The sequence below is a fragment of the Homo sapiens genome, chromosome 2 (genome assembly GCF_000001405.40).
Source record: "Homo sapiens chromosome 2, GRCh38.p14 Primary Assembly".
NCBI lineage: Eukaryota > Metazoa > Chordata > Mammalia > Primates > Hominidae > Homo > Homo sapiens.
In genome coordinates this window covers 169,084,912-169,109,194 of record NC_000002.12, presented here as the reverse complement: position 1 = coordinate 169,109,194, position 24,283 = coordinate 169,084,912, and the positions used below count along the sequence as shown (strand labels likewise).

The 24,283-nt window shown below is 40.4% G+C and overlaps 1 protein-coding gene across 7 annotated transcripts in view; it reads right to left on the bottom strand.

The window, feature by feature from the left end:
* Window positions 1–13,027: 13,027 nt before the first annotated feature.
* DHRS9 (dehydrogenase/reductase 9) overlaps window positions 13,028–24,283 on the bottom strand; it is a 29,091-nt gene continuing 17,835 nt past the window's right edge. For all 7 annotated transcript variants that reach the window (XM_047442839.1, XM_011510475.2, NM_199204.2 and 4 more), the window contains 2 exons: window positions 17,242–17,405; window positions 13,028–13,651 (listed from right to left, as the gene is read on the bottom strand). In XM_047442839.1, coding sequence (XP_047298795.1) covers window positions 13,428–13,651; window positions 17,242–17,405 — 388 coding nt within the window. In that variant the 3' untranslated portion in view covers window positions 13,028–13,427. The remainder of the gene's footprint in view (window positions 13,652–17,241; window positions 17,406–24,283) is intronic.

The following is a 24,283-nucleotide window of genomic DNA, read 5'->3' as shown; positions in this document are numbered from 1 at the left end:
CTGCCAATCGGGCCGAGTGAGGTGACTCACTAATAGGGGTCTACCTTCCCTGGGATGGCTGGCACAGAACCTCCAGACCAGGACAAGCCATGTCTTGCTTCTAGCTTCACTAAAAGTCGTGGATCAGTTTTCGCAGTGACCCACTCCAGTGTAATGTCAAAATGTTTTCCTAACAAATCTCAAAACCTTTTAGCTTTCAATTTTCTTTTCCTTTCAACTTCTTTGGGGCCACTTTTCTATTGCAGAAGAGTTGGGATTAATTAGAAAATACTCTTCTGTCTTCTATTTTTACTATGGAAGGAGAAAAGAGGGATTCTTGGTAACATAGGTAGCACAGGTAAATGTGGGCTTACCCAAAAAAAGAAAATAGTTGACAGACAGCTGCTTTTGCTGCAGGCTTAAATGCTTACAAGAAAGGGAAGTGAATTAGAACATGTGAATAGGTCATTTTGAAAAGTCGCTTTGTGTGTGGGAAGAGACAGGTTGATGGAGAGGCCCACAAGTGTCTGACAAGGCAGACAGCTGAGTCCCAGTTTAGTCCCCTGTGTACATATGCATCTGTGTGTCTTTGGGCACAACACTTACCTCTCTCACATCTCTATTTTTTCCATCTGTAAAATGAGGCATCATTGTGGCACTTACCACATAAGGTCGTTGAGAAGATTATATTAGATGATGCATATAGCACATATCTACATAAAATGTATCCAACAAAGGATATATCTTTCTGCTGTTATTCATTCACACTTTCTTTCTGTATGAACTTATTTTGGGTACATACTGTACCTTTTGCAAGCTTCCTTGGCAATTTACAGAAATGTAGGTGGTCTTACTTCACTTCCTGCTGAAATGAGAGAGCAATCGGTACTTTAACCATCTAGGGATAAGATATAGAGATGTTATGCAATCTCTACTTGGCTTTGAAAACAGAAGGCACTTAGGATCTGCTTGTCACCTAACTTGGAGCCAAATAAAATGCTAAGTGTAGGAAATATGTCAGTTCTCACAAGGGCAGGCCTCCTATCACATCCCTTCTCCATCAGACTGCTTCTGGGAGCTGAGAGGGCCTCCTAGGTGGGGTCCCCCTGTTTTTTTCTTAGTTTGGGTTTAAGTGGAGGCATTGGTAACCAACAGCCATGAGTCAGGTACCTCAGTCTTCCTCCAATGGTGTTTCTCATCATGCCCAGGCTGATTTGACACTAAAAAAGGACCAGGACCTCCTCACTATGTCACCTCCCTTTTAAAAAAAAATTCACAGTACCTTTGTCACAGTGTTCAGGTTGAGGGTGATAGCTCAGGTTCAAAACCTGACCACAGTATTTCCTGTGGTTTCTATTGCATTTCATTACACTGTGCTAGAAAAGTGCAAGGGAAAGTGCTGCTATCATTACCTTGCGGAAAAGCAAGTATTTCTGCAAGTTTATGGTAACACAGAAACAATCAATGCCAGATGCAAGCCGGGGATGGTGCATACCTATAGTCCCAGCTGCCTGCAAACTGAGGTGGCAGGATTACTTGAGCCTAGGAGTTAGAGACCAGCCTAAGCAACATAGCAAGAACCTGTCTCTAGAAAATAAAAAAACAGAAAACATCAGACGCAAATTCATCAAAGATTTGGTATGAGAACTTGTTCTTTCTCCAAAGTGATTGTGGTAATTATTTTTTATAATAATAGTTTTCATAGTTCAAAACTCTATATGACCAAGTGAATTGACTTCACTGATAAAAGATAAAACTTCTCATGGCTGTGACTTAGATATTCTAAAAACATACAACCACAGAGCCAGAAGGGCCCTTAGCGGCATCTGTTGCTGGTTGCTGCCTGCAGGAGGCTGTCTGAAGTAGAGGTTGGTGGTCCCAACTGCTATCCCTTAAGCTCTGAGATTCTGGATAAGTTTCATACCCTATCTGAGCTCTGCTCCTCTTCATAGTCTTGCAAGGTTGTTGTAGAAAGATTAAATGAGGTAACCACGCATGCAAAACAGTTAACACAGTTTAATTAACAATTAGCCAATGAACACACAATTAGTGCTGTTATTGAACAGTTGCTCAACATTTGGTAATAACCATTATCATCATCATTATCATCTTATTTCTACAACTTTACAGGGCTGAGGGTGTCATGCCCTTAGTTCTCTATTCTGGTCAGTCTCTGGGGTCAGATTTCCTGCTGTGTAACTGAACTCTCTTATCTTTCCCGCAATAGAGGAAGCCCATTTCTTCGTATCCAACTCTTGCTCTGTCCTGAATCTGACATAGTATTATTTAAGTCTCCTCACCTTTCAGGGCCTCTATTCCCTTTTCTTTGAAATTACCTGCTGGTAATTTCTTTGAAATTAGGAGGAGTGTTGGCGACCTGAAGGGCCTTGCAACTTTGCCACTATGTATAGTAACATCCTTCTGGTAACTGAAGGCATTGCCAGGCCAGGCTTCCATCTTGGGCCATTCCTCTGTAGCCATGGGTAGGACTCCCCACAATGGTGCTGAGAAAATGGTGATGAATGGATGTTTGTTGTGGTTGTTTTCCCCACAGGTCTCAGATCTCCTCTCATCATTCTGAGTGTTCTGCTGAGGATCTCTTCTCGTTACACCTAACTTATACAATAGGGAAGAACAAAAGTCAGAGTGTTGCTCTTGTCCTTGTCTTCGACCTTGGCCAATCCATTCAAATAACAGATCAAGGTGCGGGCCAACTTATAGCTAGGTTCTGCCATGAACCTAAGCTAATTTGAAAAAGTGCCAACAAAATGAATAATACTCATAGCTACAATACATTAAAAGCACTATGCTGTATTTGACATGCATTTACTTGTTTAATTCTTGTAACTGTCCAAGGTACACCCACCCCCATTATACAGATGAGAAAACTAAGAGAAATTAAGTAATATGCCAATGGTCAAGCCAATGCTAAGGGCAAAGATGGGTTTTGACCCCAGGAGCTCGATCCAAGAGTCTCTGTTCTTGACCACCTATGAGGCACTTCTAGACAGATTTCTCACCATTTTTTTAAAGTACTCATCCAGGAAAGATGCTCAGAGGCAAGAAGATGGGCTAGATGAACTCCTGAGGAGTGTTTCACTCCATCATGCTGCCAAGCCAATGCCATAGCCCCATCATCGCATGGCTCCATAATGAAGGATCACAGAGTGTGGGGCTTAAACAACAGAAAAATGTTGTCTCACACTCCTGGAAGCTAAAATTCAGAAATCAAGGTGTTGGCAGGTTGGTTCCTTTGAGGGCTGTGAGGGAAGGATCTGTTCCAGGCCTCTGTCCTTGGCTTGCAGATGGCTATCTTCTCATGCGTCTCTTCATGTTATCTTCCCCCTATGTGTCTGTGTCCAAATTTTCCTTTTTATAAGGGCATATGTCATATTGGATTAGGGTCCACACTAATGACCTCATTTTAACTTGATTACCTCTGTAAAGAGGCTGTCTCCAAATAAGGTCACATTCTGAGGTAGTAGGGGTTAGGACTCCAACATATATTTTTTGCTGGGGTGATATATTTCAACCCATAACAGCTCCCCTGTCATTTCAAGGTAATAATGAGTGTGATGACTCCATTTCCTCACAGCAGGGAAGTGGTTTACTTAACAGCGAACTGTCAAAGAGGTTTAGGTTTTAGAATCAGACAGGGCAACTTTGTTAATGCCTCATTTGCTACTTTTTGCAAATAGTCAAGTAAGTGGATCTCTGGTACTCATTTAAAAAACAGAACAGGTTTAAGAAATAAATAAAGGGAAAGTTTCAATCAATGTCTTACTTTTAGAAGCCTTGACTGCTGGTATCATGGAACTGACTCTTAGTAAATCAAACACTCTTCAGGAATTAGATCAGCAAAGGGAAGGTCATATTTTCTAAATAGTTGCCTGAAATAATTAATTAACTTTACTTAGAGGAGTAACTTACCTTCAGAATGATTTATTAATGGATTGGTGATTCCACTTATAAATGCTATTGTTGATAAATGGCATTACACTCATAAGAATTGCTTACAGTCAATACAATTATCTTTTTTCTTATTTTATCCAGGGTAAATATAATTGCTGCAATAAATTAGAGAGGAAACAAGAGCATAGGGAATATTAACTTCAAGATGTATTTAATGAAGGAATAACAGCATCGATATTGAATGACTTCATGTTGTGAAGTTGTCACAACCAAAATGGAGTCACTTGTGTTAAAAAAAAAAAAAAACCCTCACAAATAGAGCTATGAAGGCTGTGAAGAGAGAGTTCTCATGTTTGCATGCCTGATTTTAAAAAAGTCTAACATAAAAGACTGCAACAACCACAACCTTGCACAAAGGCCATCACAACCTTACACAAAAAATACTTCTGCAAAGACATCTTCCCAGGAACTGTCTGCCCAACCTCAGACTGGCAGACCTTGTTATTGATCACCCTTGTTATTGATCTTTGTAGCCAAAGGTAATCATTTCAAAATAATTATGTATCCTTCTCATTTTTTCCTTTAAAACTCCTTGTCTTTTTTTTTTTTTTTTTACCTCCCTGAATGCACACATAGTTTACTATGGCACCTGCATTCCCGTTGCAATGCCCTACTCCCAAATAAACATCATTTTCTTTTAGAGAGCCTGTCTGTATTTGTTACTTCGTTGACAATATGTTGGTTAAGTCAGGCACTGAAGAAGTAAAACTGATGGAATCATAGCCATCTATTGCCTAAGGAGGGCCAGATTTGAAAATGATGACTGTGAACATTATTTTTAGGATTCCTAGTCTTTTGTTCATTAAAATTTGAACGTTTTAGAGCAAGGTAGAGAAAATGTGGAGTCTAGCTATGCTACCGTTTGTGTAAAAAGTATGTGAAAAGGTTATCTATACATTGTCTATATATATGCATCTCAGCAATGACACAGGAGAAAGTCCTAGCTAGGGACCAGAGGCCTGGGAAGAGGAAGACTAAGATTTCACTGTATATTCTTTCCTAGTTTTGTTGTTCAATTTATACTGGATCCATTAATAACACCTGTTTTAAGAAGTGAGCACATGTTTCTGACAACTGCACCCCCACACAATTAAACTAGCTATGGATGCCCAGGTTGCAGGTTGCCCCAAGAATCCTTCCAGCCTCCTTTTCGCTGTGCTAATCCTCGGGGCTGCTTCTGGGCAAGATCTGAAATTTAGCTTTAGTTGATCTTGATGTGTATTCCCTCTCCTTTCAGCAGCTGCCTCCTTTCTCCTCATCAGAAGCTAAGGCGCTTCTTTCAAGTCTTGAAGAAATGAAATTCCAGGCCTCATGAAAACTGAAGCAAGAGATATTTGGCTTGTTACATCCCACGGTTTTAGTGATTAGAAAGGTTAGGTCTCTTTATGCTGGTATGTACCATATTTGAAGAAAGACCCTGTCCAGCCATAGAATCCTCAAATGTCATCCAAGTCAGCAAATGCAACCCCATATTGCTTGACTCCCTTCTCCGGCATCCCCATTCCAAGGGTGGTCCTTCCTGTGCTTGCCTGCCAATGGCAGCTGCCCTTTGATCCAACTCCTAGTGGTACAAAAATCCCCTCTATGGTGCTGAACTTGAACTCTGTGTAACTTCCACCCATGACTCTGGCTCTGCCACTCTGTGCCCTCTGATATGAGTTTAATTCCTGTTCTCAGGGAGGCCCCTTTAAGTGGGCCGTACTGTCTTCCCTCAGTCTCTTCCAAGCAAACAAGCCCAGCGCCTTCTGCTAACCTGGACTTCAGATAATCTGCTCTCCTGCCGCCCACTCCAAAGTGTCTGTTGCTCTATAAGTGTAGAGTTCCCAACAGTGAAGGCAAGTTTTACCAGAGCCCTGAGCAGCTGGGAGGAGACATAACCATTACCAACCTTACTCTATATGTTGTAAATTTAAAATTTAGGATGAGATCAGAGCATGATTTCCTTTTTTTCCTTTTGGAGGTAAGCGGGGAGTAGTTAAGTCACACTGTCATATTACATCATTGATTCATTTGGAACTGATTTTTGCATAAAATACCTCAATTATTTTCACAGTGTGGCTTTGAATCCCATGTTTGCTTTTTTGGAAGCAAAACAGAGCCTTGCACCTTTCCCTGTACCATTTCATCCTGTTAGTCCATGGTTAGAACTCATAGCAGCATTTTAGACCCAGATTCTGTCTTCTCATGTATTTCCCTGGTGAGTTAACAAAACCTGCCTTTGTTTTCATCTAAGTCAGTGATAAAAATGCTCCTTGCAGGGACAGGACTCAGATCAGATTCCATTCCACCTTGGAGGTGAAAGAATGGCCAATTGGGAGGGGGTCCAAAGAACATTTGGGCGCTTGGAGGGTTTTCTGACCAGAACACTTTTGTTTATTTCATTCAGAATGAGCATTGACATTTGTAAAGCATGAAGGTAACTGCATGTATTTCTGTTCACGAAAAAAAGTCTAATTTCTTAAAAGGGTGTTTGCAGCAGGGGTTGGAGCGAGTGGAAGGAACGTGGAAAGAGCCTGCACACACTGTCCATCATTTCTCTCAAGGTCTGAAGGCATGGGGAAAGTGCTTGGGGATGACTGGCCAGGAGGCTTGACTTCTGCTTTCAGCACCCAGAGCTTTAGAGTTTCTCATTTACAGTGGCTCCAGAGTTCAGAAAGAACTTTAATGAAGAATTTTGGCTTTTAAAATCCATTGTCTAATTATGCTTTTCTTGTATATTTATTTTTGGGAATGAGCATTTTATCAAGTGGGCATTTAGGAATCTTAGATTACTAGAGATGAAAGAATCTTGAATTTTAGAATCCTCATTTGTAAAATGGGACAATAAATGCACCTGTTGTGCAAAAGTTGTAAAGACTTCATGAGAAAGTGCATAGATAGTGTTCTGGGTAGATTCTGGCTCATTTTAAAGGCTCAGTGAATGTGAACCATTATCATCATGATGGCAGCAGAAACAATAGCCATTTCTCCCCTCATCCACACTGAGAAATTTTGGGTGAAAAATTATAAAGAATGTTCTAGTAACTAAAGCTAATCAACAGGGTAAATTGGAAGATGGTGACCGTCCATTCTTTAGTGGTATTGGAGCAGAAACTTGTCATCTTGGGAATGTTCTTAGTGGAAGTGTCTCTGTGAGACAGATTATGAGCTATATGACCTCTTCCAGCCAAATGAGAAAGTCCAGCCACTTACTGTTTTTTTTTTTTTTTTTTTTTGAGATTGCAGTGTGGTAGTGCCAGGAGGCCCTGACCTCATTCCAGCTAAGGTCCCCTCATTTCTCTCATTAGTGTTCCCAGGACTGGCCCTAGCCACAAGGACCAGCATAGTTTGTCCCACTATTTGTTGAAAAAAATACAGTCATCTGGAAACATAGTATGTGTGGGACCCCAGACTTCTGTTCTTTTTCTTTTGTCTCATCTTAAAAGCTGGAAGATGTGTAGTGTTGATCTTGGGTCAGAACAGTTGATCTAAGGCCTTTATTGAAATTAGCAAAAAGTGATTGCAAATAAATTCCTGAAACAACTAACAACAACAAATGGACAAAATCCATAACAACAAAAGAAGAAAGAAGATTGAAAAAGAGAAAAAAAGAAAGAAAATCCAGAAATCTAGTTAGAAAACTTTAAGGATCTAGGGAATGATGTTTAAGTGCCTTTATTATGTCATCATGAGTGAGAAAATTTTGAAAATAGAATACAGGAAAACTAAAAGGGGTATATCTTTGTATATTGCTCAAAATTATGCATCACTCTTATGCATAATTGGTTATTGGCCAGGTAAGACTAATGCTAGATTAATTTAATAACAGTCTTGTTTTTTGTTGAACCAGAATCAAAGTTTAGGGAAATACTGTCTAAGACTCAAATTCTTTTTTTAGGCACCCGTCACCACGCCTGGCTAATTTTTGTACTTTTAATAAAGACAGAGTTTTGCCATGTTGGCCAGGCTGGTCTCAAACTCCTGACCTCAGGTGATCCACCCACCTTGGCTTCCCAAAGTGCTGGGATTACAGGCATGAGCCACCGCGCCTGGCCTCAAATCCTTTTTAATAATACAGCATGGTGGTTCTGAGCATCGGCTCCAACATCAAGCTGCCTGGGCTTGAACCCTGGCCCACACTCACTAGCAGTGTAACCTTAGGAAGTTGCTTGTCTCTCTGTGATTTCACTTCTCCATCTCTAAAAAACACACGTAAGTGAGATATGATTAGGGTTACGTGAAATCATTCATGTAATAGACAGTAAAGTGTATTTAAAATCTGACCTATACTTAAGTATTAAGCAATCATTATGACTATTTCTCCTATTATGCCCATGGCAAGTCAGGTTGTTTGGATTACCTGGTTCATAATTCAGGCATCAACATTAATTGGGTGGCATTATACTCAAGTTACGGTTGCCATACCTAGGAGAAAACAGACCCAGAACACAGTAAGTAAATATTTTATCTACATACGGGGATAGATGGTTTTTGCCCAGAACTTAAACTATGTATTCATAGCAGAATACTTTCTGTTTCCAGTTTCTCAAAAGGAAGTAAAATGGAGCAGTTCAGGAGAGTTGCTAGTTGTAGAATGAGAGAATGCTCTGTTGCTCTCGCCTGAACTATTTTAGGCTGGATTGCTATTTCTAGGGACTAATCAGGCAAGAACTGTGATCTGGTTCCTGCTTGAGCAGGTGTTATATGCAAAAAAGAAAATAGAAGAAAAAAAAAGAAAGATGCTTGGAAATACTACTAAACCAGAATCTGTACTAAAGCTCTGGCTGTATTAGTACCTCATCTACTAGGATGGAAATTATATTTTCTTTTTGAAAAATGAATTGCAGAGTTGAGGAAGAATGTTAGCATTAGGAATATCAAATTATCTTATTTTTCACCTTGCAAAGACTCACAAAACTCTTGGTCAGCTTTGTCCTTATAAACTATGGCTTAGATTGAGTTGTCATAAATATAAAAAATGTTTTTCATTTTGAGAATGTTTAGCTTTTCCTCCACATTGATGGGACTGTGATGTCTTGTGTTCTTGAAAACTACTGGGATTAATAGTGTGCAGAAGAGCCAAAATTGATCATTTTTTAAAGAAGTTTCCTGGAAATTTTTCTCATTAACTATTGGTCAGGGTGAAATATTGGTCATTAAGTATTGGTCTACCCTAAGATAACAGAAGTTATAGAGTTTCTGGAGAGATTCTAACTAGAAGAGATTCTCTTCAGGCTGGATGGCTTAGACATGTCCTGCCTGTAAGCAGAGAAATAGACTCAATGATCCCTGGTGCTCTTTTAGTTCTGTGCCTACTGGGCCCAGGATGGCTTGGCATGGAGGCAGCCTCCTTTGCAATAGGTGGTGGGAAATCACTACAGTAACACTGCTCAGTATCTGGCTGAGAGCAGAGCCAGAGCTGGGGAGCCTTCAGGAAGACCTGAAATGCTCAAGGAAGTTATAAGACTTTGACTGAACTGGCACACTGACAGCACAACTATTGGGATCAGCAAGCTTGATCTTTTTGAAAAAACGTATTATTTTTCATGTTTTAGGGACAGAGTTTTGCTCTGTTGCCCAGGCTGGACTATAGTGGTGCAATCATAGCTCACTGCAGCCTCAGTCTCCTGGGCTCAAGATACCCTCTTGCCTCAGACTGTAGCTAGGACTACAGGCACATGCCAGCATGCTCAGCTAATTTTTATATTTTTAATTTGTTTTTGTAGAGATGGGGCCTCCCTGTGTTGTCCAGGCTGCTCTGGAACTGATTCTCCCGCGTTGGCCCCCCCAAAATATTGGGATTACAGGCCTGAGCCACTGCACCCGACCAGCTTGATCTTGAGTAATAAATTGACCCTTAGTTAGAAAGGCTAATATAGACTAATTTTTGTGTTCATTCAACAAACATGTATTGAACATTGATCTGTGTGCCAGCGATGTCCTAGGTAAGGAGATACAAAGATAAGCAAAGCATCATTATTCATGATTTTATGGAGCTTATGATATGATACAGGAGACCTATATTAACTAACCATATGCATATACAATTACAGACTGTGATGAGATTCCTGAAGAAAATTACAGGGCACAGTGAGAGTGTACAAGATGGGAACCTAACTGGATAAAGAGGTGGTGGTCAGAATTTGAAATTGTGCAGGCTTCCCTGAGAACGTGGTTGAGATCTGTAGGACAAAGAAACTAGAAAACCAGGTAAGATGGAACTTTCCAGAGAGAGGCATGGGAAAGCTGCAGAGGTGGCCAAGTGAAGAGAACAGTGCTATAAAATGAGGCTAATGAGGAGTATGGTGGCAGCAGGGTTCACATAATCATTTTAGTCTTCAGCCAAAGTGCAACAGGAACACTTTGAAAAGATTTTAAGAAAGCAACGACAGAAGGAGTAGAATGATTAGATGTTAATTATGAACAATTCTGACTACAATGAAGAGAAATCAATGATGGTGCACAAGGTGGATATGCTGTGGTAGAAACAAGAGATGAGGGTAGCTTGAACAGGTGATTGCACTGGAGATGAAGAAAGGTAGACAGACTCCAGATCCCTATGGAGATTAAATTGACAGTAGTTGGTGCTGGACTGGGAAAACATCTGTGGGGCAGGGAAGATAAAAACTCCAGATTTGAATATATTGTGGATGCCCAGATGAAGGACACACTTGGATTTTTGGATCAGGTCAGAGGGAGGGTTTGGGAGGTTCTCTTGGTCTCTCTAAACTAAGTGAGGAAGAATCCTTCAAGCTAGATGTGGTGGAGGACAACATCTCCGTTCATCTTGGCCGTGCATTCCTGGAGAAGGTCCTCTAAGGCTTCCTGAGTATTGGCCTTAGATTTGGATTATTTCCAAAAGGCTCTAGGAAGGAAGGCCTCACATCCATCATGTTCCTTATTATAGGCCAATACTTAGAAGAATGTCCATCGTAGTCAAAATATGTCTCTTCAAATATTTACAGATAAAAATTTGATAGGTATTTTCCCCAAAAGAACAGAGAATTAGAAGTGATTATGGTAAGACAGAGAGAAGTCTAGGAACCCATGCCCAAGATGCCTGATATAGTGACTGTCTGATATCCTCGTCCCCCCTTTCTCCCTACCACACATCTTGTGCCTCTGTAGAGACTTATGCCTCTATGCCCCCAACACCCCACCTTCTCATGTATTTTAAAAACCTTTAAAAATTGCTTAGGTGAATATATTTGGTATTATTTTGGAGTAATATCACACCTGGTGACATTTGTTTTAAGGAGAGAATTTTTTAGTTGGATGAAACAGGGAGTTACCAAATTGTAGCTACTGGAAGGAAAGAACAAAGAACTCAGGTCTAGGCAAAACAAAAGAAAGAACACAATCAGGTAGGCCCAAGAATATGACTGAAATGGTTAGAAGCTTGGCAAAGAAAGTTCCTTCAGAGTCTAAACATCTTGGTAGCCCTGGGAGGTCTGGAAAGTCAGGGAGCAGCTTGTCAAGAATTCTAAAGCAGTGAAATGAAGCCAAGATGTGAATTCAAGGTGAGGAGGGGCCCCAGCAGACAACATTGGTGAACTTTACCTCCAAGAACAGACTATGGGGTGGTTAACTGCAACAAGAAGAAACCAGAGATCTACAAGTGAGCTGTCTCTGGGGCTAGGTCCAAGATGGGGATGACCTCACAGGCAGGCAGGTTAGTTAACTTTGCCCGAGAATTCTTCCATCTCATTCTTGCTGTGATTTTTTTTTCATTTTGATGCAAAAATGATGAGTATATCCTTCTTCAAAATTATGAAATGTATATCTAAGTGGATTGACACCATTTGTAATTTGATTTTTCACTCACCAATATGTTGTAAACTTGAAAGGAGAAAATTACCTCATAAGCAGATATTTCTGGAAAGGTGATTAAAAATGAATAGAATTACTAATACCTTCAAACGGACATGGTTTCAAGCAGCAGATATTAAATATTTTTTCTTTTCTTTTCTTTTCTTTTTTTGAGACAAGGTCTTGCTCCGTCTTCCAGGCTGGAGTGCAGTGGCATGATCACAGCTCAATGCAGCCTCAACCTCCTGGCTCAAGTGATCCTCTGCCTCAGTCTCCCAAGTAGCTGGGACTACAGATGTACACTACCATGCCAAGCTAACTCTTTAGTTTTTGTAGAGACAAGATTTCACTATATTGCCCAAGCTGGTTTTGAACTCCTGGGCTCAAGCGATCCTTCTGCCTTGACCTGCTGGGATTACAGGCAGACTTTCTTTGCAATATGTTAAGCATGTGTGTATATGCCTCTGTGTGTGTGTGCACGTGCACACTTGCACATGTGCATTAGCTAATCTCTCTGGCTGTTTACACCATATTATTAAGCAAAACATGTTGCATTCTGCCACTGCAGGCTTCTTCTTGTAAATAGTCTACAAACCTTTGCGAGCAGTATTGGCTATTGGAATCGGGAAACGTCTGTTTAGGGAACTCTTTCTTTTGGATGGGGTGTGGGCCCAGGGTCTATTCAATTTAGAAACATGAATATAAGCAAGATGCAGATCTAATCCCACTGTAACTGTAGACTAAAGAGAGCCTTTTTATTTAGCTCTATATCTTCATGGGGCTTCAAAGACCCTTCAAATGCAAGATTTCCAGCCATCTCAGGTGTAAGTTGTGCCACATGGTCTGGGTCTTGTTACTTTTACAATCATCAGAATAAACCAACCAAATGTAACATTATTCTTCTTTTGGAATGATTAGTTACTATGTCATTACATCTTTCCACCAGAAAACTGTGTGCATCAATGTTCTTAGGGGCTTGAATAGGATGTTCACCTCCATAGCTCCCTCTAGGAAGGCTTGTCTGAGTGTTGGGGAGTCTCTCTTCATATATATATATTTAGGTATATATTCTTTTGTTGCAGTCCTCTTATTCCTTTTCCTATCTTTTTCTTTCCTTCTGTTTGCAGTTCTATCTAGTGTTTTACTGCTGCCTTTAGCTTATACCCGTGTCACACAATGCTTGATCACCCTCCCTTTTCCTGTCCTTTTCAAAGCTTATCAGAACTGAGCTTTGGTCCTTCAGAGTCATCCTCAGCAAGGTAACAGAACATGTCTATCCACTCATGAAAATGTTTGACTTATCTTTTAATATTTAGATAAGAGATGATACTTAACATTCACAAGTTACTGTAAATGCTGGGGACCATAAGCATGGGGCAGGCCACGGTAAAGATCATTTTGAATGGGCAAGTCTTTCAATTTCCCTTACATCACACCAAGCAGGCAAAGCCTAAATACAGGGCAGGACTTGCCTATGTGATGTACCATTCCAGCCCTCCTTTTCAAAGAAAACTTGAGCAGGGACCCTGGGATACCACCAGCGATGGTGGGACTCCCTTTTGCAATCCAAATAAGCACGATCTAAATGAGTCCAGGTTGGAGCAGATAAGGAATGGGGTTGAAAAGGAGATGTGTTCTTGAAATCGGCCAATTTCATAGCCTGGAGGAGACATTTGTGGTTAGCTGAGTCACACTGCCTTGGGATTAGCCAGCTCTGCTTTCTGTTTCAACAATAAAAAGTCTTGCAAAGCTGCTGGCATGTGAGACAGAGGTATCCAGAAAATTTTGGCATCTTTTCCAGCGGCATAATGAGTCTTAGGGAAGAGACTTGTTAGAGCGTGGTCCATGCACTCTACCACCGGAGAGAGGTCCATGTTCACATAGGATTTATTGCCTTTCAGTTTGTCTAGACCTAAAAAGAGACAAAAGTACATTTACTCTTTGGTAGAAGGGGAAAGCAGAGTGGAAGTCTAGGGTGCAAAGGGGAGGATGGATACAAGGGGATTTATTCTGAATTGTCCATTATAATTGAGGCTCATTTTGAGGATTTACTATCTATTCCTCAGAAAATGATATTGCAATGCTTTCTTTAGACCAGCAGCTCTCAAGATTGGGTTGGCAGCAGATTCTTCTAGAGAGCTCATTAAAACCCAGGTTTCTCGGTTCCACCTCCAGAGTTTCTGACTGAGGTATGAGGTGGGGCCCAAGAATGAGCATTTCTAACAAATTTCCAGATGATGCTGATGCTGCTGGTCCAGGGATCAAACTTTGATCCCTCAGTGCTTTAGAGCAATGAGGAAACGATACTTCATAAAGCCCATGAGGCCCCTAAGCCTAGAAAGTTGTATGTTTGATTTCTAATTTGTTTTAGGGGATTATGTGTCTAGAGAAAATGTGGGTTGCACATGTGCTTGTGCATGTATGTGCATGCATGTGTGGATGTAATTGTGCACTTGTATACTTGTATAGGCTTCTATAATCTGTAAATAAAGAGAGAATCATCCCCAAATGTACTGACTCAGGAAGCTAAAAGGATCCCAGTTCTCATGCAAATGAGATGTTTGAATAATGAGCGAAGATACCTTTAGAGAGGCAGGGATTTTACAAGGGATTAGTGGTGGATTACAACCCCAGTCTTTTCAATACATGGTATTGGGAAAACAGTATATCCACATGAAGAAGAATGAAACTGAATCTTACACCATATAAAAAAATCAACTTAAAATGGATTGAAGACTTAAACATAGACCTGAAATTATAAAACTGCCAAAAGAGGCCTGGCATGGTGGCTCACACCTGTAATTACAGCACTTTGGGAGGCTGAGGTGGGAAGATCACTTGATCCCAGGGAGTTCAAGACCATCCTGGGCACCATAGTGTGACCTCATCTCTATTAAAAAAAAAAAAAAACTACTAGAAGAAAACATAAAGGAAATACTTCTTGACATTGGTCTGGGCAATGATTTCTTTGGATATGACCCCAAAAACACAAAGCTAAACAACAGCAAAACTAGATAAGTGGGACTGTATCCAACTAAAAAGCTTCTGCACAGCAAAGGAAACAGTTGAAAGAGTGAAGAGAAAACATACAGAATGGGAAAAAATATTTGCAAACTTTATATCTTAGGCACAGTTAATATCCAAAATGTATAAGAAACTCAACAGCAAGAAAAGAAATAACCTGATTAAAAATGGGAAGAGAATCTGAACAGACTTTTCTCAAAAGAAGATACAAATGGCCAACAGGTATATGAAAAAAATGTTTGTCACCACTAATCATCAGGGAAATGCAAATTAAAACCAAAATGAGATATCACCTCACATTTGTTAGAATGGCTACTATCAAAAGACAAAAGATAACAAGTATTGACAAGGGCATGGAGAAAACCTCTTGTATACTGTTTGTGAGAATGTAAATTAGTACAGTCATTATGGAAAATGGCATAGAGATTTCCCCCCCAAATTCAAAGTAGAGCTATCATATGATTCTCACATACTTTTAAACCATACCTGAGCTGTGTCTTCTCAAGGGAAAGTCTATGATGTTAGATCTTTCTTTCAACTTCAAGTCCCACTGGCCACAAGTTGTTCAAAGAACCTAATAAGTCTTAGTGGCTATTTTAAACTCCTACTATCCCAGCTTGGGAAATTAAGAAAAGATGACCTTCAATTTGTGGTCTACTTTGGGACCGTGACTTTGGCTGATCTCCAAGTCCTGACTTGAAAACTCTAGTGAGAACAACCAGTGTAAAACTGAGCTCAATGCCTTTTGGTATTTCTGAGACAGAACACATGAACCAGGAACCAAGCCAAAAATAATTGGAGATGGAAGTCAGTGATATATTCAAAGGCATTTAAAAAGTATCGGTATCAATATCAAACAGAGAAAGCTCTTTTAAATGAGGGGTTTTGTTTCTGAAGTATTAAGTTCCATCTTAGATGGAACCTACATAGAACCTTCAGAGTCAGGAACTGAAAAGTAGAGTATTTGATGGCAGTGGCTCTAAACCTATAGTGGCATGTCAGCACTAAGATGTTTGTAAGACCAGACATTTCAGTTGATATATAGATAATGTGTGTACCTCTGTGTGTGTGCATGTGTGTGTGTGTGCGTGTGTGTGTGTTTAGGGTAATGGTGGTTGGAGGAGTCAGTCATTTTAAAAACCTCTCCAGGTGGGTCTGACTTGGCTTTCAGCTCTGCCTTGAAAACTCCTGACCATGAACCTTGCCACAGTTGACAGTCTTACCAAGTCCACTGATTAAGAGGCCTGAGCACAGTTTGGAGGGAAAGAACTACCCATAGTTAGGTGGAACCCTGCTCAACTCAAAGCAGGAGGTCAGTGAGTACTTGAGGAATATCAAGTAAACTTTAACCGACCCAAGAAGTTTGTGGCGGAGGGGAAAGCCTGATAACAGGAGTGTAACCAAAGTCCTTAATGCCTTGTTCACATTATAGTGCCATGGCCAAGCATAAATGGCACGGTCAGGCTGCCTGGGTCCAAATCTAGCTCTTCCACTTACTGGTGGTACAATTTTGGTAAGTTATTCTCTATGCCTCTATTTCTATAAAATGAAGACGATAATAAGAGTTTTTTGGGGGATTTTAAATGAGTGTCCCTGTAAAGCACTTAGAATGGTGACAAGTACATAGTAAATATTTACTATTTGTTAGTTGTCATTATGTCATCTTTATTATTATTCTCCCATCTCTGACTCAATCTCTTGACCAGGAAGGCTCCTGGTGTCTTCCATCTTCTCCTCCATGTGTTCCTGCTCCAGAAAGTTTCCACCCAAGTAATTATTTCCTGTCCTTTCCTCTTATTCAAACCTGACCTGCCCCATTAGGGCTTAACCAGCCATGCTCTTTTCCTGGTCTAAATTCCCTGGGGAATTAGAAACCACACCATCTAGCACCATTTCTGGGCTGTTAGATTACACCTAAGAAGTAAAGGATTAATTTTATTGTGTGCTACATTATTTCATTGTTTTACATTCTCGCTTGGTTACTTCTTGTTGTCAACTAGGTTGTAAACTAAAGGTCAGAGGCTGAACCTTTTCCATCTTTTGTAACCACCATAAATCCTTAATGCCAAGTGTACAGCTGGTGCTTGAGGAAAAGAGGAGGTATGGCAAAGGTGAAGACCGTGGCTCGACTTGCCTTCCTGGGCTCAGGTCCAGGCATGACTAGGAGGTGTTGTGTAATCTTGAGCAGGACATTTCACTTTCTCAAGCCTCTGCTCATTACTCTAATAGTTTTTGAGGAGTAAATAATATAATTCATAAGACACTTAGCAGATAACTTGGCAGTTTGTAATTGCTCAGTAAATGTTTATAAACAGAAGCAAGAGATGACACTGAAATTAATAGGAGATCCCTGATCCATGGTTAAGATCCTTATTGGGGTATTACTCAGAACCTTGTTATTTCATCTGTATTTGAATCTCCTTCATGCTGTTCAGGACAAAGAATTCTAGAGGACATTGGCACCGCCCGGAAACTCACTTTTTTCAATGTAACCTTCTCCATATTGTTGTTTGATGTCTGGAGACAGCTGCTCCCAAATGGCGAGTTTTTTTTCAATTACCTTTACTGGATCTGCCAAGTTTGTTTTGAACAATCCTGGTTCAATGCATGAGACGTGCACACCAAAAGCTTTCATGTCCCGTCTGTGAAAAGAACCCATTGAAGATGTTTAATCCGGGTTTGTTTAGAAAATATTTGCTATTTGAGTGACTATTTTCTCACGAATCTTTTCATGGAATCACAGATTTGGGTGCATTTGAAAGAAATATCTTATTCTCTCTCCCTTTCATTTTGCAAGTGAGGAAACTGAGGTTCAGAGTGGTGAAGTGAGGACTAGTTAACGGCAGGACAGGAAAGGGATCTGGGTGGACACCACCCCCAGTCCACTGTTGTTCTTCCTAGAGTGTTCTCCACGCTCTCATCATTGACTAAGTGGACATTCAGGTTATGAACAGGTTTCTTATCAGTACTTAAACCACCTTATGGTGAAATGAACTAATGATAGCCTGGATGGACAAGTTCACCTCCATTCTAGCAACATAAGGAGATTGCAGCACAAATGAGGATGTGCTGAAGGACACAATACGATAATCCCTGATGTGACTAACCTGCTCCCTATGCTGTTGAGCAAGTTTTATTTTATTTTATTTTATTTTATTTTATTTTATTTTATTTTATTTTATTTTATTTTATTTTATTTTATTTTATATCATGCTGCAGCAGAAAACTAAAAGCCTACTCATTCCCTAGGCATCAAGGTTTTACAGGAATCATGGTGCCCCTTTCTTTAAAGCAAACCAATATACAGATGTTCCTGTGGGGTCACATCCTGATAAACTCATTGTAAGTTGAAAATATCCTATGTCAAAAAATGCATCTAATATACCTAACCTGTCAAACATCATGGCTTAGCCTAGCCTACATTAAACGTCCTCAGGACACTTACATTGGCCCACAATGGGGCAAAATCATCTGGCCACACAGTGCCCTGCAGCATAGCAGTTCTTTGCCCTGTGATTGCAACGGCTGACGGGGAGCTGGGGTTTACTGCCACTGCACAGCATCGCGAGAGAGTATTGTACATATTGCTGCTGGTAAAAGATCAAAATTCCAAATTCTAAGAAAAGTTTGTAATGCATGCATCTCACTTTCACACCATTGTAAAGTTGAAAAGTCATGTTTAACATTGCAAGTCAGGGACCACCTGTACAGCAAACCAGTATATGAATAGTCGTTTCCTAAATTTGATTTATTTTCCTACCAGGAATATATAATATAAGGAAGTATTTATTCATTTTATAAAACTCTTCACCATAAGATTTTTAAAAGCTCTATTAGTGGACTTAAAATGTAATTTATTTTTTCTTAGGTTCTGCTTTCTAGCAACGTTATTATTGTAAAGTTTGAAATATATTTTACTAAAAATGCAAGTTAGCTTGACCTTGAAATATTCTGTAAGGTATATGACTTGTACTAAAATTAAAAAAGATTATTTCCCAACTTACTTTTGTTTTATTCACCTGTTGCCCAATTTCCTCTAGATTGTGGAAGTAGCAGTGCCAAGAGGCTATTTAGGAAGACTTTTCTCCCCACCCACTCATAAAAATAACGTACTAGGGACAAGTGGCCTTACGCCCTCCAACTAAGCTTACCAGGTAAGTAAAAACCATATTAAATCAGTATGCATGCTGGGAAAATACAGTTTTAAGGAGCCCCAACCCTCTCTCAAATGGACTGCTGCCCCTAAACCCTCCTATATATAGAAATTGTGACGCTGACACTGGATTGTGGCGCACCTACATAACACCATTTAAAATACTAGTTCCATGATTCATTTAAGAAAAATACTCTTTATTGATTACTATTAGGCATGGCATACCTGCATGGCAAAGCTCACAAACCCTTCAGTTGAAATCTTTTTTAAAAGTGAGTAAATCTCTAATTACATATACTACAATTTTATTATGATACTGCTGGTTGTAGAGTGGAAACAAAGGTCAACCAAAGAGACCAATGGAGGTTTTTTTATGACCTTGCTACTCAAAGTGTGATCCCTGAACCATGGGCAGCACCTGGAGCTTGTTAGAAATGCAGGGTCTCAGGCTCCTCTCCAGATCCACTTAATCAAAATCTGCATTTTGAAAAGATCCCCAGGTGATTCAAATGCACATTAGTTTTTTGGAAGAATTGTTCCAATATTTTTGTGCTTATTTCCTAGGAGAATCAAACTTGGCAACCTGATCAAATGGCAAAATGAAGTTGCTCTATCTTTATTAATTTCAGTGGAGTAATTTTAACCTTTTATTAGTAAACTAAACCTAGGTCCATGGTATAAATCATAAACTCTAACATATGCCTTCAACAAATAATAGTCAAATAAATAAATGGATGAATCAAAGGAAAAACTATAACTAACTTTGTCTTCTCACTTGCCTATTGTGGCACCACTCAGCTGAATATCTTCCGCTTGCTTCTCTAGTCCTTTCCTCCACCCTCTGTCTGCATCATATCCTGGGAATCTTACCTGCACTAAGTATACTCTGGCTTCTGTTGAGTTCAGTCTATTGAAAGTGCCAGTGGGGGATCAGGAAAGAGGTGAGGGGGTCAGAGTAGTTATCCTCCTGTGGTGTCAACACTGGTTATTTTTATCCCTTAACTGAAAACAACAGCCTCTGCGTCTCCAGGTTCTGGAAACTGCCCTGTCTCCTTGTCCCTTCAGTCCTCTGAAGAGAAATACACCTACTGTCATTAGCCCCTAGATTGTATCCTTTGAGATTTCAGTAGATACCTCACACATGTTTATAAGTCCTTTAAGCATACTCTCTGCCTTTTACCCAGTTTTAATGTGCCACCATTTCCTGCCAGAATCTTGACTGAAAGAACCACTTGTACTTTAGGGGATTTGAACTGATGGTGATAAGTTCTGGTTCCAGGTAAGATGGATTAAGCACACTTCCCCCAGTCTCTCCCACGGAATGAAGCTATAAAGCTTGGACAGCATGCTTGGAGAAGCTATTTAAGAACTAATGGTTTTCTACTGAAGGTTTAAATAGGGTGGTACTGTTGTGTCTGCAACTGACAGTAAACCAATGGAGAAGCCTATTCTGATCTAGCCTTTCTATATGATTCCCTAAATATCTGACAAACTGACCAGTTGAATATAAATTCGCTGCCACTCTGAGCATCATGTATTAAGGCAAAAAGTAAAAAGGAGTTAAACTTGGGTTCAAATCTCAGTTCTGCCACTTACCAGCTGGGTGACCTTGCGCAAATTAATTAAACTCTTTTAGTTTTAGTGGCATCATCTATACACTGGGAATAACTTAAAGTACTAAATAGGGTAGAGGTGGAGCAGGATGGCCAAATAGAAGCCTTCATTGATCATCCTCCCCACAGGAACACCAAATTAAACAACTATTCATGCAAAAAAACCTTCATAAAACCAAAAATCAGATGAGTGATCACAGTCCCTAACTTTATATCACTTTAACTTCATATCACTGAAAGAGGCCCTGAAGAGGGTAGGAAAGACAGTCTTGAATTGTTGATGCTACTCCTCCTCCATAGACCAGCAGCAACTCTGTGGCATGGAGGCAGAATCTGCGTACTTGGGGTGGGAGGGAGAGCACAGTGATTGTGGGACTTTGCATTGGAACTCAGTGCTGCCCTGTCACAGTGGAAAGCAACACCAGGCAGAACTCAGCCAGCACCCATAGAGGGAGCATTCAAACCAGCCCTAGCCGGAGGAGGAATTGCCCATTTCAGTAGCTGGAACCTGAGTGCCAGCAAGCCTCAACAGTGTGGGCTAACGTGCTGTGGGGTTCTAAATAAACTTCAAAGGCAGTCCAGGTCACAAGGATTGCAATTCCTGGGCAAGTCCTGGTGCTGTGCTCGGAGACAGTGGACTTGGGGGGCAAGCAACCTAGTAAGATGCCAGCTTGGGCAGCCAGGAGAGTGCTTGTGCTACCCCTCCCCCAGCCCCAGACCGCGCAGCCCACAGCTCTTGGAGAGACTCCTTCCCTTTGCTTGAGGAGAGGTAAGGGGAGAATAAAGAGGACTTTGTCTTGTGACTTGGATAACAGCTTAGCCACAGTAGGATAGGGCACCAGGTAGAGTCCTGAGGCCCCTATTCCAGGCCCTACCTCCTGGACAACATTTCTAGACTTGTCCTGAGCCAGAAGGAAACCCACTGCCTTGAAGGGAAGAAATTAGTCCTAGCAAAATTCATTACCTGCTGACTAAAGAGCCCTTGGGCCCTGAAAAATCAGGAGCAATACCCAAGGTACTCACCATGGGCCTTGGGTGAGACTCAGAGACATGCTGGCCTCAGGTGTGACCTAGGACATTCCCAGCTATGATGGCTATAGGGGGAGACTCCTTGTGCTTCAGAAAAGGAGACGGAAGAGTAAAGGAGATGTTGTCTTGCAGCTTAGGTGCCAGCTTGGTTTGACTACAGTGGGGTAGAGCACCAAGTGGGCACTTAGCGTCTCCAATTCCAGGCCTTGGCTCTTAGATGGCATTTCTCAACCTATCCTGGGCCAGAGGGGAGCCCAGTGCCCTGAAATGAGAGTCTCAACCCTAACAACATTGACCACAAGCTGATTGAAGAGCCCTTGGGCTTTGAGTAAACATTGGTCATAGCCAGGCAATACTTCCCGCAGGCCTGAGGTGGTAGTAGCTATGGTGAGAGACTCCTCTGCTTGTGAAAAGGGGAGGGAAAAGTGGGAAAGACTTTGTATTGTGGTTTGGATGCTGGCTCAACCACAGTAGAATAGATTACCAGGTAGATTCCTAAAGTTTCTGACTCCAGCCCCTGGCTTCCACATGGCATCTCTGGACACCTCACCCAAGGGTAGGGAGAACTTGCCACCCCGAAGGGAAGGACACAAGTCTTATTGGCTGGCTTCACCACCTGCTAATTGTAGAGCCTCAGGGCTTTGAGTAAACATAGGCAGTAGCCAGGCAATATTACAGAGGGCCTTGGGTCTGACTCAGTGCAGTCCCAATGATGGTGGTCAGGAGTGCTTGTGTCACTCTTCCACCAGCTCTAGGCAGCTCAGTATATAGACAGAAGCTCCACTTGTTTGGGAGAAAGTAAGGGAAGAGAACAAGAGTCTTTTCCTGGTAAACCAGATAATTCTTCTGGATCTTATCCAAGACCATCAAGGTGGTACCTCTATGAGCCTACAAGAGGCACGGTCTTACTGGGCTTGGGTTGCCCCCTAATGAAGATATGGCTTCAGGAACTAAAAAGTTAGATCACAACAGCCAAGTCCCTTCAAATACCTGGAAAGACTTCCCCAGAAGGATGAGTACAAACAAGCCCAGACTGTGAAGACTGCAATAAATACCTAACTCTTCAATGCACAGACATAAAAAAAAAAAATCCACAAGCATCAAGACCACCCAGAAAAACAGGACCTCACCAAATGAATGAAATAAGACACAAGAGACCAATCCTGGTGAGACAGAGACATGAGACCTTTCAGACAGAGAATTCAAAATAGCTGTTTTGAGGAAACTCAGTGAAATTCAAGATAACACAAAGAAGGAATTCAGAATCCTATCAGATAAATTTGACAACGAGACAAATAATTAAAAAGAATCAAGCAGGAATCCTGGATTTGAAAAATGCAATTCACATAATAAAGAATGAGTCAGTCTCTTACCAGCAGAATTGATCAAGCAAAATAAAAAAATTAGTAAGCTTGAAGACAGGCTATTTGAAAACACACAGTCAGAGGAGACAAAAGAAAAAAAAAAGAATGAGGCATAGCTACAGAATCTAAAAAATAGCCTCAAAAGGGCAAATCTGAGTTACTGGCTTTATAGAGGAGGGAGAGAGAGAGAGAGATGGGGTAGAAAGTTCATTCAACAGAGAACTTCCCAAACCTAGAGGAAGACACCAATATCCAAGTACAAGAAAGTTATAGAACACTAAGCAGATTTAACCCAAAGAAGACTACCACAAGGCATTTATTAATCAAGCTCCCAAAGGTCAAGTATAAAGAAAGGATCTTAAAAGCAGCAATATTTGTTTGGAGATTCCTCAAAAACAAATAACATACAATGGAGCTCCAACCCAATTTGGAAAGGAGGAAGTCAAATTATCCTTGTTTGCAGATGATATGATCTTATATTTGGAAAAACCTAAAGACTCCACACACATAAAAACTATTAGAACAAATAAATTCAGTAAAGTTGCAGGATACAAAATCAACATACAAAAATCAGTAGCTAACAGCAAACAATCCAAAAAAGATTTCTATTGCCAACAGCAAACAATTTCTGTATGCCAACAGCAAACAATCCAAAAAAGAAATCAAGGAATTAATTCCATTTACAAGTTAAAAATAAAATAAAATGCCTAGGAGTTAACTTAAAGAAATGAGAGCTCTCTGCAATAAAAACTATAAAACATTGATAAAAGAAATTGAAGAGGATACAAAAAGTGGAAAGGTATTCCATGTTCATGGATTGGAAGAATCAGTATTATTAAAATGTGCACAATACCAATAGCAATCTACAGATTCAATGCAATTCCTATCAAAATACCAATGACATTCTTTACAGAAATAGAAAAAACAATCCTAAAATTTATATAGAAACACAAAAGACCCAGAGTAGCCAAAGACACCCTGGACAAATACAAAACTGGAGGAATCACATTACATGACTTCAAATTTTCTATAAAGCTATAGTAAACAAAACAGCATGGTACTGGTATAAAAATGGACACATAGACCAATGGAACAGGACAGAGAACCCAGAAACAAATCCATACATCTACAATGATTCGTTTTTGACAAAGGTGTCAAGAACATGTATTGGGGAAAGGATAGTCTTTTCAATAAATGATGCTAGGAAAACTGGATGTCCACATGCAGAAGAATCTCTTGTGCATATACAAAATCTCTTACCATATACAAAAATCATATCAAAATGGATTAAAGACTTAAATCTAAGACCTCAAACTCTGAAACTACTACAAGAAAACATTGGAGTAACTCTCCAGGACAAT